The following is a 16,449-nucleotide window of genomic DNA, read 5'->3' as shown; positions in this document are numbered from 1 at the left end:
CTAGACATATATAACTATTATTAAAATTCTGATGTTATTCTTTGTAATTTGCTTTTCTGTACATATGTATAAGTAAAAATTTTGCCGACAAATTGGGATCATAATATAATATTGTCTTGTATTTGGCCTTTCTTTTGAATATTTTATTCTGATACTGAATATTTAGATTTACAGTATATGATTCGTTTACATATTTTTCTCATTTTTGAGTTTTTAATGTTGATTGAAGTTTTCTGTCAGCTGGAGCACTTCTTTCTTTGACTAAAATTTTCAGGAAGCGGGAACACCTTCTATGTTCTTAAATGTCTAGAAGCACCTTTCTTTGTTCTTGTATAGAACTGAGATTTGAAATAGTCAAAATTCATATAGTATTTTGGGTTTTCTGGTCAGTTTCTCTCTCTTTTCTCTGTTTTTTCTCTCTCTTTCTCTCTCTGGTTGTAGGTAGTTTAAGTAGGCATTTCAGAAAATTATATCAAGGGATAATTAGCCCAATACAGTTTTTAACTGAGACCCTATAGTATCATTATTCAGGAAGACAAAGAAATCAATGTATTTCCCCAAAACTGTACGGACATGCATTGTGGGGTAGAACTGGCTCTCCACTGGGAGGAAGCAAATTTATGGATCTCGAGGGCTCTGCTCTACCTTAACTCTTAGCTGCTTGCTCTTGGCTGTTTTCATCCCAAGTCCCAACACCACAGACAGTCTGACATGGGAAGCCAAAGGAAACAGAAATGAACCGCACATCTCTTGCTTTCTACTAGTCAAGAAGCCTAGTAGATGCTAAATCTAAGACCTGAAAAGTGAATTCTCTGTATACTTGCTGTCGTTGGAAGCTGTGAGCATGTACAAAATAACTGTTCTCAAGTCCTTTTTCTTGTTATACGAAAATTTCATCTATACCGATAATTTCACCCAGAAAATATAAAGGAATCTGATTGCAGTTAAAAAGACCTACCTCCTGTCAATATATTTTCTTTTTTCTTATTTATGTGCTTGCTTGTTTCAGTCTACAAATTTTGAGTTGTACCACTTTGGGTGTCATGCAGTCGATCACACTAATGTCAGCTATCTCAGAGATGTGACTAAGAGATGGAAATTGAGTAGAAAAGCTGCAGGACCACCTGCTGGAACATGATTGCTGTAGAGAAATCATACAGTAGGATAGGCTCGTATCTGATTAGATCATGATGTCAGAAGGGCTACCATTCATTCATGTAAACTTGAATTGCCCGATAGCTACAGTTGAGGAAAAACCAGGTTTGTTTCTGAAATATACCCCCCGCCACCAGTTTTTTGTATGCTTTTAGCTAGATTTCCCATGGGAAATTGGTCTGACTCAGTTGTCAAATGAATTTCTCTTGCTCAGATAATATTTTATACTCTCTTATAGCAAACCAGCATTTAATACCTTCAGTTTTTATCAAAATTATTTCCAACTTGGGGTTATTTTGAATATTGAAAATTTGCCATGGATTCAGTGGGGATTCTGTGAGGGGCTTATAAATTATTTTCTAAAATTGATACCAGGTTCTGGGTATGAATGAATTCTCCTCTTCCTTGCCTCAGTTTCCCACTCTGTAGTAAAAATAGTCATCTTTTTACTCACCTACGTTATTGGTTAAGGAAACTAACATTTGTCAAATGACTACTCTTTCAGAATAAGACTTAGAGTTTATATACTTTCTGTATTTTATGCCTGTTTAATTTGCTGAGGACTGATGAAGATACATACAGATAAGGTTACACTTGCATATAGGATAAATCACACCCGTAGGGTACATTTCATTTAGTCAACAAATACTTCGAGTGTGTGCTACGCACCAGGCACCATGCTAAGCACTGGGAATTCAGTAGCAAAGATGACATTTAAACCCCATCCTCAGTCACTGAAGAAGGAAGAGATAAAGCCTGAGTGAACATTCCAGGGAACCTTTTGTGGTCCTGCATCCTACTGAGAATGCCATCTCACCATCTTCTTCTGCAAGAGCATTCTTTCACTCTGTAGTTGTACCTTTCTATAAAGGCCAGAAGACATTATACTTTACATGCACATAATTATGTTATTTGTAAAGAAATCTTTCCTCACCTTTTCAATGTAAATTACAAATACATCCTTTTGGGGAGTAGAATGTCATGAAATACTGAATGGCAAACATTTAACATTTAAATCAGTGCTTCTCAACTCTGTATGTTTAAATCACCTGGAAAACATTCAAACTATCCTATTCTTGCCCCTCCTTCTCCAGAATCTTATTTAATTTGTTTGGGGATGAGGCTAGGGCATTGGTTTGGATGGATGGATGGATCAATGAATGAAAACATAATATATTAAGGAAGACATCTTAGGTAAGCAAATATAAAGTCAGGAGAAGTAGACTAAACAAGATATCATAGACTTTCACAAAATACATGTCATAAAGCCTCGTGAACGTGTGAATCTGGACCAAATTTGGGCTTTGAGCTCTTTAGCAACTAAAACAAAGGGAAACATGATAGATGCATAGTCACTCTGGTGTCCATTAGATTAAAAACAAATGGATTATTTATGAGCATTAGCTTTTTTCTAGGACCAAGGCTAACACAAAAGAAATAAAGTAAACACCTGATAATGATGTGTGGAGCATTTTAAAACACATGTAGAGAAAAATGTAATAATACTTTTCCCAGTGGAAGTTGATGGCACAGGCTAGAAGACCTTGGCAGTGAATTAAGCGCTGCATGGGATGAGTCTCTAGAACCTTGGAGGATTGGGCTCTGTTATGTGTCTTCTGTGTAGGTTATTCTCCATAATGCAATGCCACCTCATTGCCTCCAAAGCCCTGCATGATCTGAACCCTGCTTGTCCTTGGTCATTTGACCACGTCATCTATCACTAAGCCCTTGTCAAATTTACTTTAACCATACTCAATGTTCTTTGAGCATACCAAGCTCATTTCTACCTCATGGCCTTTGCATTTTCTAGTTCCTCTGACTGAGATACTATTTGTCCAGATTATTGCATGGCCAGCTCTTCATCATTTAGGACTTGGTTAAATGTCACCTTGTCAAGGAGGCCTTCCTTCTCCACCTCCTTGTCTACTGCAATTTCCCTCCCCTATGCTGATTATATTCCAGCATATTACTCTGCTTGGTTTTCTGCAAAGCGCTTTTTATAAACTGCAAGTATCTTAGTCATTTGTTTACTTAATTATGATCTCCTCTTTATAAATCCACTTGCTTGCTGCTGTATTCCTCGTACCTAAAACAGTGCTTAACGCTACAACTGCTCAATAAATATGAGTTGGATGAGTGAACCAATCTTTTCATAAATACTTAACCTACGCATTTCTGCGGTGGTTTTGACTAAGCACAGAGCCAAGCCCTTTTATAATCAACTGGATTAGAAATAATGCTAGCATCTTTTCATTAAAAGGAAAGACACAGACCAGGTACCTGGCCAAACTAAAGGCTACCTCTCATCTTGTGGACAGTTTGAAGACCATGTTTTTTTCATAAGGCTCAATTATCCCCTTCCTTGTTTTAAATTAACAAACAGTGTCCTCAGTGTGTTTGTCTTCAATTGCTCTAGTGTTGGATATTTTCCCTTTTTGTTTTGTAATCAATTGTTTGTGTTTAAACTCTAGGTCTTAAGCAAGCCCACATGAAGCTGCAGTTTTTACTGTGGCTATGGGAAAGTTTTATGATGTCTCTCAGCCTTGATTTCCACATTTGTCAAATTGAGTCACAGTAATAGTAGCTGCTGTAAGGTTGTTTTGAGGATGAAAATAAATAATCCCCAAAAAACACTCAGCATAATACTTGGCAGAGCGAACACGTTCAATAGAAGCTATTAATAACGGTGATATTAATAATACAATTATAATATTGGTTTATTAATTATTATCCTTATTATTTTCTCCCTGACCTCTCCTCTAACTGTTTTCAGAATGACATCATTATGAACCTATTTTATTCGTTTCCTAAGTATACATGCCAATCTGATGAATTAAGCAAAAATGTACCCAAACACTCAGTAAACACCTTAGATACTCTTTGTGTACTAAAACAGGCCATTCTCCTAACGGCATGACCTCTTTTTCTCTTTTCTGTGGCTTTCCCAACTTGCCATGGATGCAGAGGAGAAGGCCAAGAAGGAAGCAGAGGAAAAGGCTCGCCTGGCCGCAGAGGAGCAGCAAAAGGAAATGGAAGCCAAAAGCCAGGCTGAAGAAGGCGCATCTGGCAAAGCTGAGAAAAAGACGTCTGGAGAAACTAAGAATCAAGTCAATGGAACACGGGCAAACAAAAGTGACAACCCTCGTGGGAAAAACTCCAAAGCCGAGAAGTCATCAGGAGAACAGCAACAGAATGGTGAGTAGACTTACACTGGTGAAGGGCTCTTTTCGCGGCATTAATGACATAATGAATGGAAACTGGTGAACAACCCTACTGATGGGGTCAGCTCACAGGGCAAGGCTTCCCTGCTCATCCAGTTCCTTCTGATCCCACCTCATTGGGCTGCAGGATTCCAGCAGAAGCAGCTACCAGCTCACCTGTGCCATCCTCTTCAGGGAGATTGATACCTTTCTGGCCATTTCCAGCTGCCCTGGAGACTCTAGCCAGTGCCTGCCTGCCTGCCAGCTGGGGGAAAATTACCATGATCAACCCCAGCACATTCCTGAGTGTAAAGTGGGTAAATGGAAAGTCATTTTCCCATATATACCATCGCTCTATGAGGGCCAGACCTCAGGTTTGCCTGAGCCTTTTCCTGTAATAGATATCTGTATATCTGTGTGTGTACAAGTGTGTACTTTAGGGGGACCAGCTGTTTCAGTTTACCTGGGACTGGGAGACACAGAGCTTTCTGTTTTAAAAACAGAAGAGCTCCAGGCAAACTGGGGTAAGCTGGTCACCATAGTGTGCATATAGTTATTGATTTCTTATATTTAATGCAACAAATATCGATTAACAACTACGTGCCAAGCACCATGCTTAGCACTAGGGATTTAGAAATGGAAAGGCCACAAGAAGCCCAAAATATCAAAGGTGATAGAGACATCCTCCAAATATTTCTAGTGAAATGTGCAAGTGAAAGTAGTGACATGGCAGATAAAATGCCCGAGGAACATGTGCAGAGAAAAACACATTAGCTTTTTGGGGACTGGGGATTATAAAATGGGGTAAATGTCAGAGTAGGCTTCAAGAGGGGGTTTTGAATGCTGAAGCTGGCTGGTCAGATGGGCTAAAGATACTTCTGAGTGGAGAGAACAAGATGAGCAAGTACACAGGGCTTTGATTTGGTTTCCTTGTTTAGGGGCAGGCAGGAAGTTCTGAGTCTCCAGAGCTTGCAATTGACAGGTTGTGGCTGAATAGCAAGGTAATTTAGCAGTCAACAGACCTAGATTCAAGTCAAGCTGTGCTTCTCCCTTTTCAGTGTCCTTGGCCAGGCTACTTAACCTTCTACTGTTTCTACACAATGTATATAGTAATACCTATTCACAGCACAGGCCTCATGGAACCTTCAGTAATACTCATGATAGTAAAAACAGTGAAGAGAATAACAACAAATAGCATGTATTGACTGCACACTAGATGCTGTTTTAAGTTCTCTTTGTACATATTCATTCTCTTGCCTGCCTGGTGCGACCAGGTAATCTACTCAGAACCGTGTTCTAGCTATTATGCCACAGGGCCGTGGTCAATGATTTCTACATGTAGAAAGTGCTTAGCACGATGTTCTCCAATTATTTTTATAATTAACCATTTATAACATGTAATCAGAGAACAATATTTTAACACATGTAATAATAATGATAGCTTATATCATATTCCAGGAACCTTGCAAAAATTACTTCAGTTAATCCTGGTGACCACCCTAGGAGGCACAGAAGGCCATTGTCCCGACTCGTCCTGCCCCCTTCTGGAGATTGCTCTTAATTCATTTGCTTTGTATTCAAGTGCATTATAGTCTGGAAAAAAAAGTTATAAAGAATTTAATAAGAATTTTTCATGTACCCAAACTACCATTTGATCCAGCAATCCCACTCCTGGGTATCTACCCAGAGGAAAAGAAGTCATATGAAAAAGATACTTGCACATACATGTTTATAGCAGCACAATTCACTATTGCAAAAATATGCAACCAGCCCAAATGCCCATCAATCCATGAATGGATAAAGAAATTGTGATATATGTGTGTGTGTGTGTGTGTGTACATATATATGCACGCGTGCGTGTGTGTACATATATATGTATACACACACACACACACACACGATGGAATACTATTCAGCCATAAAAAGGAATGAAATAATGGCATTTGCAGCAACCTGGATGGAATTGGAGACCATTATTCTAAGTGAATTAACTCAGGAATGGAAAACCAAACATTGTATATTCTCACACATAAGTGGGAACTAAGCTATGAGGATGCAAAAATATAAGAATGATACAGTGGACTTTGGGGACTCAGGGGAAAGGGTGGGAGGGGTGTGAGGGATAAAAGACTACAAATTGGGTTCAGCGTATACCGCTCAGGTGATGGCTATACCAAAATCTCACAAATCACCACTAAATAACTTACTTATATAACCAAACACCATCTTTTCCCCAAAAACCTATGGAAATAAAAATTAAAAAAAATAAAAACATATGTTCATACAAAAATTTTTTAAAACAAAAATTTATTATGTACCTGTTACTGTTTTAGAGGGCAGTACAGGCCCCTCCTTGCTACCCCTTCTGAGGACTGAACCAACTGAGAGATAGGTAACAAAATCAGAAAGTCAATGATCAAGACATCAGCTCCACTAAAACTGGAACTTGGGAAACACAGAGTTGGTCTGCTGAATACATGGGCTTCTTTACATTTTGCTCTGAAATGAATTTACACAACCAGACACTGTATAGCCAGGCACAGGACTTTTCCCCCACCCCAGCACCCTGGCAGGCTGCTTCTAGAGTGACAGAAAAGGTGTGTGTCTTACAGAAAACATATCTCAAAGCAGTCTGGGATGTGGGTGGCTGGGCCGGGCTGTGCATGCTCAACCCTACCTCCCAGATAAATAATCACTCCTCTCAAAAGAGGAACATGTAAGGGGTGGTGAGAAAGGCAAGGTGTGTTTCTTCCCTCTGCTTTTTCTTTTAACAGAGTGGGTTAGAAATGTCTTGCCCTTAGTAAAAGCAATAACAATAATACCACCATTTTATTGAATGCTTAACATGTATCAGACATTGTACTTGAGATTCTATCTACATTAAATCATGTAAAAGTTCTAACAATTCTATGAGGTAGAAAAACTCATTCCCATGTTGTGGGTGGGAATACTGAGTCTCAGAGAAGTGAAATCACTTGTGTAAAGTCAAGCAACCATTAAGTAGAGATCTCAGGTTAAACTCTGATCTGTGTGAGTCTCAATGCTCTGTTAGGTAAACAGCTTGTCCCTGTGGTTTGGTGCCTTCAGGGAGAGGGGCCATCAGAGAAATATGGAAACTTAACTGCTGTTTATAAGAGGCTTACAATATACTTATTCCAGGGATTGGCATGCTTTTTCTATAAGGGACAAGATAGTAAATATTTTAGGCTTTGCAGAACATAAGGTCTCTATTGCAACTACTCAACATTGCCATTTTAAAGCAGCCACAGATAATATACAAACAAATGAGTTATCCTGTTTTCCAATAAAACTTTATTTATAGAAATTAAAATTTGAATTCTACATAATATCATATGTCATAAAATATTTGTCTTCTTTTAACCATTTAAAAATGTAAAAGCCATTCTTAGTTTGTGGGTCATGAAAAACCAGGCAGTAGGGCCAGGTTTGACCCATGGGCCATAGTTTGCCAACCCCAGGTCTAGTCAGTGGGAGAAACCAATAAATGCAAATAAGCTAGTCACAAAGAAGGATATGAATTCTACCATAGGGAAACAAAGACCCAGAGAGGGCAGATGTGGAAATAATAATTCATTTTGAAGTTGGTTAAGGGGAAAGCCTGAAAGAAACAAAACAGGAACCTGAGTCTTCAACAAGGCTGGCTTGATTTCACAACTGTGCTTATTTCCTGAAATAAGCAACAGTCTACCATTTCCCTTAAAAAGTAAGCAGTAAATGAGAGGTGGGAAAAGAAAGCAGTTTAGAGCAATAATAAGAAAGCCTAATGGTGGTTCGGGACTATATTACAGCAGCCTAATTAAAATGATTTATAACTGCACAGAAAGTCTCTTTCACTTCCCCTTGTTTATTGAGTAACAGCTCACGTCAGCCATTACTCCAGATACAACCCATGGGAAATTACTTAATGGATTTTGCTCAGGCAACATCATCAAACAAGCATGTGTCACTGTCCCAGCCCCCTTCTTTGTGGAGTGCCCAGGATATCTTCCAAGTTAGAGCTGAAGGTTGTTGGTGAAGGAGGGGTTTTCAAGGTTTGGGCACCCACTGGCAGTGACAGGATCTTCTAATCTTTGCCCTCTGTTGAGATGACTTCCTCCCACAGCCTCCCCATCCCTGGCTGAGAACAGGAACCATCATGGGCTGCTGGTTAGCAACCAGCAAAGGGAACCATCTCCACGACTTCCAGAAGACATCCTGGTGTTGCTGTAGCTGTGGGTAAAGCTCCAGTTCAGAGCAACCTAGAGGGCTTAAAAAGCATGCATTAAGAGTGTGGGGGCTCATTGAGGGAAGAATGAACTAGAAGGAACTAGTTTGACTACAGTGCTCAAGATCCTTGAGTCCATCTCTGGCTTCATTAAAATAGGGAAAAGCCAGTATTTGGACTGTTTTGTGGGACCTCTGAAGGATTTCTTCTCTTTTGGTGGTGGAAGAGGTGATGACCATGTCCTGCACTTAAAATCCTCCTGTTTGGACCCTGGCCAGAGTAGACTCCCCTGCTCCTCAATTCTTCCACCTAGTGTGTATTAGTCTGTTTTCACACTGCTGATAAAGACATACCCAAGACTGGGTCATTTATAAAGGAAAAGAAGCTTAATGGACTCACAGTTCCACGTGGCTGGGGAGGCTTCACAATCATGGTGGAAGGTGAAAGGCACATCTTACATGGTGGTGGCAAGAAAGAATGAGAACCAAGCAAAAGCGGTTTTTCCTTATGAAGCCACCAGACCTCGTGAGACTTATTCATTACCACAAGAACAGTATGGGGGAAACTGCCCCCATGATTCAATTCTCTTCCACTGGGTTCCTCCCACAACACATGGGAATTATGGGAGGTAAAATTAAAGATGAGATTTTGGTGGGGACACAGCCAAACCATATCACGGTCCATCCCATTTCAGAATTAAGAATGAGAGGGAACCTGAAGAGTTTATTGACTTCTAGCTTAGCTTAGTATTTGTCAAATTCCATTGCAAGTATGTGGTTTGTAGAATATATTACAGCCCCCAATAGTCCTGAATCATGCTTAGATAATCAGTTCTTTATAAATTCATAGGCCAAAGGCATTTAGAAATGGAAATAGTAAACAGAAGTCTGAAATCTAAAACTTGAACTTCATAGAGAAGTTGCAAATACTATAGTTGAGGGCTTGGCAGTTATGCCAAGAGGGAGATCCAGGTGCATGGTTGTGGCAGATGTGAGTTCAGGGTGGGGTATGAAATGTATGTGTGGGCAGTCCATACCCCTTAACATAGATGGAATGGCCTGTGTTTGTCTAACTGGCTGCAGGAACCTCAAGAAAAAAACTTAAATTTGGAAAACATCCTCAATCATTTGGTGAGTGGGATATTCAGCAAATTTTACAAATTGGACATTTAGTGAATGAATCTTTGATGAAGTTGTCTACTTTCAATAATAGTAGCCCCTTCATAATGGGGCTATTAGAAGATTTAATAAAATGATGCATGCAAAGCATTTAGCATACTGCCTGGCACAAATAAAGTAAACAAGAGTAAATCCTGTCCCTCATACACATTCCCTGGAGGCCCAGCTCACTCCAATTATTATTGGGATCTTTTGGCTTCAATAAGTACCAGTATTTGAGTGAGAATGTGTTCTTGGTTTTATGCAGGCTAAAAAGAAAGCTTCCATTAGTAAGACTGGTAAGAAAATATCCAACACTTGAAAATAAGGCTGGGTGAAGAGGCCCCTGACCTTTTCATGTAATACTGGCATATTGTTGAACACACATGCCCAGGGATTATTAAATTATTTTAGATAGGGATGCAGCACTGTTATACTGTAAAGAACCAGAGAGAAAATATTTCTGGCTTTGCCTGTCTCTTTGCAACTATTCAGCTCAGCTGTTGCAGCATGAGAGCAGCCAAGGACAATAGGTAAATGAGTAAGTGTGGCCATGTTTCAAGAAAATGTATTTGCCATAATCGATGGTGGGCACCATTGACCCAGGGGCCTTAATTTGCTGAATGCTACTCTTGAAGAACATGACTGTGTTTAACTTTACTTACTATTTGATTCAAGCCTAGGTACTGTGAAGTTATATGCTAATTTATAGATTTTTGACTGAGAGAGAAGATAACCCCAAACGTTATGGTTTTATTGCCCTGTAGGATATACCCAGTTTTGTCTCTAACTTAGCAAATATATTTTCACGTGTTTCTAAAATACCTGTCAATACCCAGCTCCAGTACTCTTGGAATCCTCTTACTATTCCCTCATAAGTGGGTTAAATACATTTTTGACACGTGTTCTAAGAATAGCATTTTACAACTTTTACAAACTACATTTTGACAAGATCATTTATTAAAATACCATTTCTAGCTCTGTTTTAGAATAATAATAACTGTATTGAGTGATATGCCTTCTAATTTATCCAAAATGCCTATAAGGTAGGTATTAACATACCCATTTTACAGATAGGAAAACTGAAGCACAGAGAAGTTAAATAGCTATTAATTGGTAGAACTTACAGTTAGCTCGGGTTTCTCCTCACTCCACAGCTTAACAGTAAATCTTAACTGCTTCTCTTAGAAGATAAGCACATAACTTAACTACAACTCTGTTTAACAAGAACTTTCAGCCTCAATTTCTGCATCACAATCCAATTTCCAGGACCTAACGTGATTACAAAAGATATTTACACTCAGACACATACACTCTTATGACTATAAAATTATGCTGCACTTTTTCAAAACTTGGCAGACTTAAAGATGTTTATAACAACCCCCTCAGCTGCATACATATACTGTTTGTCATGTTTATTACTTTCAGGTGACTTCAAAGATGGTAAAAATAAGACAGACAAGAAGGATCACTCTAACATCGGAAATGATTCAAAGAAAACAGATGGTAAGAGTATTATTCTCATTACATTTTTCCATAAAATGTGCAGTTTAATGTAAGCTTGTTAGAATCATACCCAAAATTGAAATAGTGGTTGTGAATATATTCTTATATCCTGAAAAAAACCCTTCACTATATTTAAAGGGTACTATTATCCCTTTATCAATAATTTATAAATTATTGCTGTATCTCTTCCCCTTCACCCCACTTTCTCCATCACAAATGTTTTCTATACCCTTTCTTTTCCTACTTGCCATTTTTCATCTTAAACATCATAAAAAGTTTATTTTAGACTTGCTGATCAGACAGCTAGAATGGAGTATCATATACTGCTAATGTATTTATAAGTTTTTTGATGGGGAATCATGCAGCATAAATAAGAAATGTTCCATGTTTTATGTTTTCATGTTTTTTTTCCTTGAACTAGTTCTTATTTTTGTTTAAAACAAAAACAAAAACAGGGGTCTTTATAGTGCTAATGTTGGGAGGCAGCATATATGGTTGTAAAATACAGTTTTGCCAGCAAGAACAAGTCCTAAAGGCAATGACAATGCAAAACGCAAGATTAACAACATTTTACTGTTTCTAAAACCTGAAAGTTCAAATTATATTACCCTTCACACTTTGAACTATAAGATTGAAACACCTGCCCTGGCCTTTTACATAAACTTCATTGTTTCAGCTATCACACAGGTTCATTACTAGTTATCCCCTCATACACAGACATCATATTAAGCTAAAAATTAAAGTTTCCACGGAGTGGTTTTTGAGAGAATCCCAGACTCTCTAAATCATACCTCCCTGGAGACATCATATTTGATGCTAAACTCTTCTTTGAATCATTTGGTTAGAATACCTTTGAAGAACAAATGCTGGGTAACCAGGTGGAAGAGTAAGAATAAATTGGAACGTAATTCTTTGCACATCTATTATAAAGGAAGCAGCCCCTTTAGCTTTCAGCCCTAAGCTGTTATGACATGCTGTCTTTGCTTGCATGCATGAAAACCGTTCTCAAACTTTTTCTAAAAAGACAATGCAAATAATTAACTCCAGGTGTCTTATTACATAATACCTGGGGAACACATACCTGCAATTTTTTTTTTTTTACCAATGTGCTTATGCAAATGGAAATCACTTACCTAATGAGTGTACCCTTCTTGAATAATTGTGACTAAGAAGTAAATTACACAGAACAAAATAGAATTTAGAATGACAGTCTCTGAGCCAGACTCTATTATAGGTAAGGTTTGTTTAAATACCAGAGGCTCTTTGCCAGCCATCAATACCAAATCAAGGCAACCAAAGCCAGAAAATGTACAGTGGAGGAACGCTGTCAACTTCAAACCCAGAACCCAGACACTTTCTCCATCCTGTATCCAACTATTGGCCCACAGCTTCCTGTTAAATTTCTATAGCATAAAAGCCCAGAATAAATCAAGTCCCAAATTTTTCGTATGCCATTTTGAATCTTGTTGCATTTGTATATTGTGGTACAAACATCTGCTATAATGATGTCATGTGGGCATTGTGGATTATATTTTATCACCTTCATAAAGCCTTTTTAACTGCGCCCTTTGTAACTGAATCATACCCAAGTATTTAAAAGAATTAAACAGGTTTTTTTGGGGGGAGGGGGGAAGTGATAAAATAGATTTTATGTTCTATTGTGCAAATAAGTGTAAAGTTTGATTGTTTAATGAGCAGGATTCTGGATCTCATGGGGCAGTAAGCAGACTGCTATAAATAAAAGAGACATTTTTTAATGTCTGTCTCTGTTTCCCTCCATAGCCTGTTCTTCCACTTCCTCAAGTAGGTCCTGGTGTGTCTGTATACTTGGAAGTTTGCACACAAACATAATCATGAACAACTTTGCATTTTATATTCATTGATGGACTAATATGACATCATTACTGCTTTGGTATCAATAGAACTTAGAGCATTGAGCTTCAGTGACTTGCACTATTTTAGTCCAAAACCTTTAACAGGACTAAAGCTAATTCTTGGTGGCAGGAAGTGGAAAGCAATTTGATGAGTCCCACCTATCCTTTTCTTTTTGGTCATTAAAGCTCTCTACTTCAGAAAAATTTAAAAAGGAAATATGTAGATCAGGAGATATATTGATTGTTTTTAAAACTATGTAGAAAAAACTGGATACATTTTTGAACATTTCTTTTTGGATCCTATTATGTCAGGTAATGAGTGGGAGTCAATTTAACAATTTTTAATGTCCCTACCCCTAGACCAATCCCTGGGAACCATTGGTGACTAGTTCTCTTTAATATTTGAGAGGGAGTATCTGGGTACAATTCATGCCCAATGTGAACATTGAGAGAGAAACCCAGTGGAAACTGAATCACAGTTGGCTATTCCCAAACTCCCATGAGCCAGGGCATGCACAGGGGGAAGTAGTATGTGCTGAAAGGTAAATTACATCCTGGCATAATGAACACATTGCAGCTGTACATTATCTCTGTAAGTCTACTGCAGTACTATTTCATACCTTGCAGCAGTAATTTTCTAACTGACTTCAAAGAATGGATGTCCTTTGAAAGTACCTTACTTACCCCTAGGGAGAAATGTATTGACATAAAAAGATCCAGGTCTCTGAGCCAAGATTCTAATCATCTTTAAACTTTTCCATTGGCATCGGAAGATTTGTGGGTTACCACACAAATATACTCTTTTCAGTGCATTTTTAGTCATGTTTGTAATAACATAGCCTCATGGACTTGCCATAATTTATTATAGCTATCCAGAAATACAAACTTGCCGTTAACTTTACTTGATCACATTAACAGAGAAATAAGAGATAGCCATCTTTTGTGCCTCTCAAACAACAGATTATGATTAGGCCCTGCGTGGTTATAAACCAAGTCTTAGGGAGGGAATTCAGCAGGAGTTTCTCCTTTATTGAATATCCTGGTAACTGGAATGTTTATGGATGGTCTCATGAAACTGAAAAGTGAGTTATGAAGAGTGGAAAGGGTCGGCAAGACAGTCTATGAATGTCTTCTTTTGCCAAAGATAAGTAACAAGAACTGGATTTACCCTCCCACCTGAAACAACCCAAAACCCCAGACAGCATATGTGGAAGAGTGCTTTTTAAGATACCAGACATCAGGAAATGGAGAACAGTGATCTTTGGGAGCCAGGAAATAAATGAAATGAGCCCTACGATTGTCTCAGCTTACTGCCTTGAGAGGACTTCCAGGCAGCATAGAGAGGAGTGACATAGGCACGTCTCAGTGACTCTCTGAGTTAAGAAGTTGGATAAAAATCCAAGAAGACCAAGATGGCTTTAGTTAACAGGAAAAATACTGGAGAGAAGAGGATTACAGAGAGATAAACTCTAGAGTTCTGAAGAATATAAGAGTACAGTAGTACTCCCTTACTAGCAGTTTCACTTTCTGTGGTTTCAATTACCCATAGCCATTGAGAGTACTTCCAGACAGCATAGAGAGGAGTGACATAGGCACATCTCAGTGACTCTCTGAGTTGAGAAGTTGAATAAAAATCCAGGAAGACCAAGATGGCTTTAGTTAACAGAATAAAATACTGGAGAGAAGAGGATTACAGAGAGATAAACTCTAGAGGTCTGAAGAATATAAGAGTACAATAGTACTCCCTTATTGTCAGTTTCACTTTCTGTGGTTTTAATTACCCATAGCCAACTGTGGTCTGAAAATATTAAGTGGAAAATTCCAGAAATCAACAATTATAAGTTTTAAATTGCACACCATTCTGAGAATGTGATGAAATCTCATGCCATCCTGCTTGTATTAGTCTGTCCTCAGGCCGCTAATAAAGACATACCCCAAACTGGGTAATTTATAAAGGAAAGAGAAGTTTAATGGACTCACAGTTCCACATGGTTGAGGAGGCCTCATAGTCATGGTGGAAGGCAAAGGAGGAGCAAAGGCACATCTTACGTGGTGGCAGACAAGAAAGTGTGTGCAGGGGAACTGCCCATTATAAAATCATCACATCTCGTGAGACTTATTTACTATCATGAGAAAAACTCATCCCCATAATGCAATTACCTCCCCGAGGGTCCCTCCCATGACACATGGGGGTTATGGGATCTATGATTCAAGATGAGATTTGGGTGGGGACACAGCCAACCATATCACTGCTCTATTCCACCTAGGATGTGAATCATCTCTTTGTCCAGCATTATCCGCACTGTACTGGTTCTACTTACTACCCACCTGTCACTTAATAGCCACCTCGTTTATCAGATTGACTGTTGAAGTATCACAGTGCTTGCAATTAAGTACCTTTATATTACTTAACAATGGTTCCAAAGCAAAAGAATGGAGATGTTGGCAATTCACATATGCCAAAGAGAAGCCACAAAGTACTTCTTTTAAGTAAAAAGACGAAAGTTCTTGACTTAATAAAGAAAGAAAAAAAATTATACTGAGGCTGCTAAGATCTATGCTAAGAATGAAATCTTCTATCAATGCAATTGTGAAGAAGAAAAAAGAAATGTGTGTGTAATACATATAGGTTTCAGCACTATCTGAGGTTTTAGACATCCCCTGGGAGTCTTAGAAAATATCCTCTGTGTGTAAAGGGAAACTACTACACTGAGCAACCCATGCAATGAGGAAACTACCTGAGGCCAGAACAGAACCATCCAAGAGGATTAGAGGGAACAGTCCTGATGCTCACACAAGTCAGGGAAAAGTGCCTATTCCCACTAGCCAGATTTATATATCTCATTATTTAAAGAAAATTAGGTAAAAGACTCATATTTGTCTTGCTTTAGTCATGGGGAATAATAAGCTGTAGCCTATATGCTGCTCTGGTTCTATCTAACAATCTTAAAAGCAAGACATAAAAGGGATCAAAATGTCTCAAAGTAATTTAACTGCATCCCAGAATAAAGCTCAAGGATATACATAGAGTACAAAAATATCCAGCACCCAACAAGGTGAAATTCACAATGTTTGGCATCCAATAAAAAATTACCAGGCATGCAATGCAGCAAGAAAACACTACCCACAATAAAGAAAAAGCCCAACCAGACTGTAAACTAGCTCAACCATTGTGGAAGTCAGTGTGGCAATTCCTTAGGGAGCTAGAACTAGAAATACCATTTGACCCAGCCATCCCATTACTGGGTATATACCCAAAGGATTATAAATCATGCTGCTATAAAGACACACGCTCACGAATGTTTATAGCAGCACTATTCACAATAGCAAAG

At 38.5% G+C, this 16,449-nt stretch overlaps 1 protein-coding gene across 27 annotated transcripts in view, besides 1 other annotated feature; it reads left to right on the top strand.

The window, feature by feature from the left end:
- The window catches only part of PDE1C (phosphodiesterase 1C), an 811,448-nt gene that overhangs the window by 607,951 nt on the left and 187,048 nt on the right, over positions 1-16,449 (top strand). For 26 of the 27 annotated variants that reach the window (XR_001744802.1, XR_001744803.1, XR_007060044.1 and 23 more), the window contains 2 exon segments: positions 4,120-4,350; positions 11,166-11,243. Coding sequence is in view for 21 of the 27 variants with exons in the window: in XM_047420443.1 (XP_047276399.1) it covers positions 4,120-4,350; positions 11,166-11,243 (309 nt within the window). In the remaining 6 variants the exon portion in view is untranslated. 27 annotated transcript variants of the gene reach the window in all.
- Positions 8,315-8,414: an enhancer, noted in NCBI's record as "active region_25824". NCBI's record gives its function as "activates an Ori minimal core promoter by ATAC-STARR-seq in GM12878 lymphoblastoid cells {active_cell/tissue: GM12878}" and the evidence as "EXISTENCE:reporter gene assay evidence [ECO:0000049][PMID:35858748]".

This window comes from Homo sapiens, chromosome 7 (assembly GCF_000001405.40).
Source record: "Homo sapiens chromosome 7, GRCh38.p14 Primary Assembly".
NCBI classification, from domain to species: Eukaryota; Metazoa; Chordata; class Mammalia; order Primates; family Hominidae; genus Homo; species Homo sapiens.
Note: the sequence above shows the minus strand (reverse complement) of the source record. Positions and strands in the feature narration are given on the sequence as shown.